Source organism: Homo sapiens, chromosome 2 (assembly GCF_000001405.40).
Source record: "Homo sapiens chromosome 2, GRCh38.p14 Primary Assembly".
Lineage (NCBI taxonomy): Eukaryota > Metazoa > Chordata > Mammalia > Primates > Hominidae > Homo > Homo sapiens.
This window is the reverse complement of record NC_000002.12, coordinates 21,821,316-21,822,737: the sequence shown is the minus strand read 5'-3', so window position 1 is coordinate 21,822,737 and position 1,422 is coordinate 21,821,316. Positions and strand designations below refer to the sequence as shown.

The 1,422-nt window shown below is 37.6% G+C and overlaps 1 annotated feature.

The window, feature by feature from the left end:
- Positions 402–928: an enhancer, noted in NCBI's record as "NANOG hESC enhancer chr2:22044682-22045208 (GRCh37/hg19 assembly coordinates)". NCBI's record gives its function as "activates a minimal SCP1, AML or CMV promoter by ChIP-STARR-seq in naive H9 embryonic stem cells {active_cell/tissue: H9 hESC(naive)}" and the evidence as "EXISTENCE:reporter gene assay evidence [ECO:0000049][PMID:30033119]".

Sequence of the window (1,422 nt, the reverse complement as noted above, 5' to 3'; positions counted from 1 at the left end):
AAAATTTTTGCACAGATGGAGGAGTCTTGACTGAGGCAAGGCATGTGGTCAAAGAATTTAAGATAATTATCTTGGTAATGGTGGTGCCTGTACTTCTGTAAGCTGCATAGTTGAGCTTACCCTTCTGCTTCTGATAGGTGATCTCTTGGGAATCCAACAGGAAATAATAGCGAGTTTTGACGGAGAAGAGCAGAGAGAAGAGAAATCCAAAGCAATACCTTGAAACCCCATTAACTTTTCCCACATCCAGAGACCCAGAATATGTCATTTTACATCACCATGTATAGAACAAACAAAGCTTAAATTCTATGTCAGAAGATGCATTAACAAAACCCAGTGCCCTTTCCCCCCTACCCTCCTTTAAGGAGAAGATACATGGCTTCTATCCTTAGGAAAATCACCTCAATTATATGAGCTAATTATTTGTGTTCTTTCTTTTTCTCCCCTCCCCGCCCCGCCTTCCCGCCTTAATTATGGCCACCTTTAAGAGAATCCCATTGCTTTTTTAAAAAACAGATGATTGAGCCACCTATTAGAATGTAAAAGAACGTGCTAATTGGAGTTCACATCAAATAATAGAGCACAGTTTAAATTTATACATATAAAACACATTATCTTCACCCTTACATTCCTAACATCACAGGCTCAAAACAGCAAAATGACCCACAGTCACCTTGAATGGGTCGACCGTTACAACATGACAATGAGTGCTTTTTTTGTTGTTTTGTTTTTAGTCTCTTTCAACCAGAAGAAACTGCTCTTAACTGTGAGATTATGCAGCTCTGTTTGGAAAGCTTTTGTGAGTCCCTATAGTGTAATGATTTTCCTTTAGAGAGCATGTAATTTTAGATTCTTGCATAACAGCACAGATTTTTATGGTATTACTAAACTTTGTAATTTTATTTCCCTCTGACAATTAAGTGCACATTGATGTTACGGAATTTTTTCTTCCTTCCATCACAGTTGGATGAAATTGGAAAGGCAGACTACGGTGTGTTGGGAGTGCTCATGTCTAGAAGTGTAAACGTTTTGTGATTCCCTTGTTGAAGATCCATTTCACACATAGGCAAATCCATCACATTGCTACAGTTTACTTTCAGTTGCAAACAAGCTGTAACCTAAAATACACAATGCACCAACGAAAAACAATCAATATGTCGTTTATGCACTCCCTTTGTTTAGGAAATAGTTTAACAGTTTACAGTACATTAGCTCAGATGTTTAAACTAACCTTTTTGCAGAAAGTGAGCATCTTCCAAATAAATACATTTTTCTCCTAGAATTTGTCGTTTCTTATCACCAGCCACATCTCTTTCATGTCTATTGCACTCAGACCTGGGCAATAGCACCTATATTTTATCAAGACCCTTCACTGTTTCGCTTTGCTATGTAAATGAGACACATCATTTTTTTCTAGTCCAG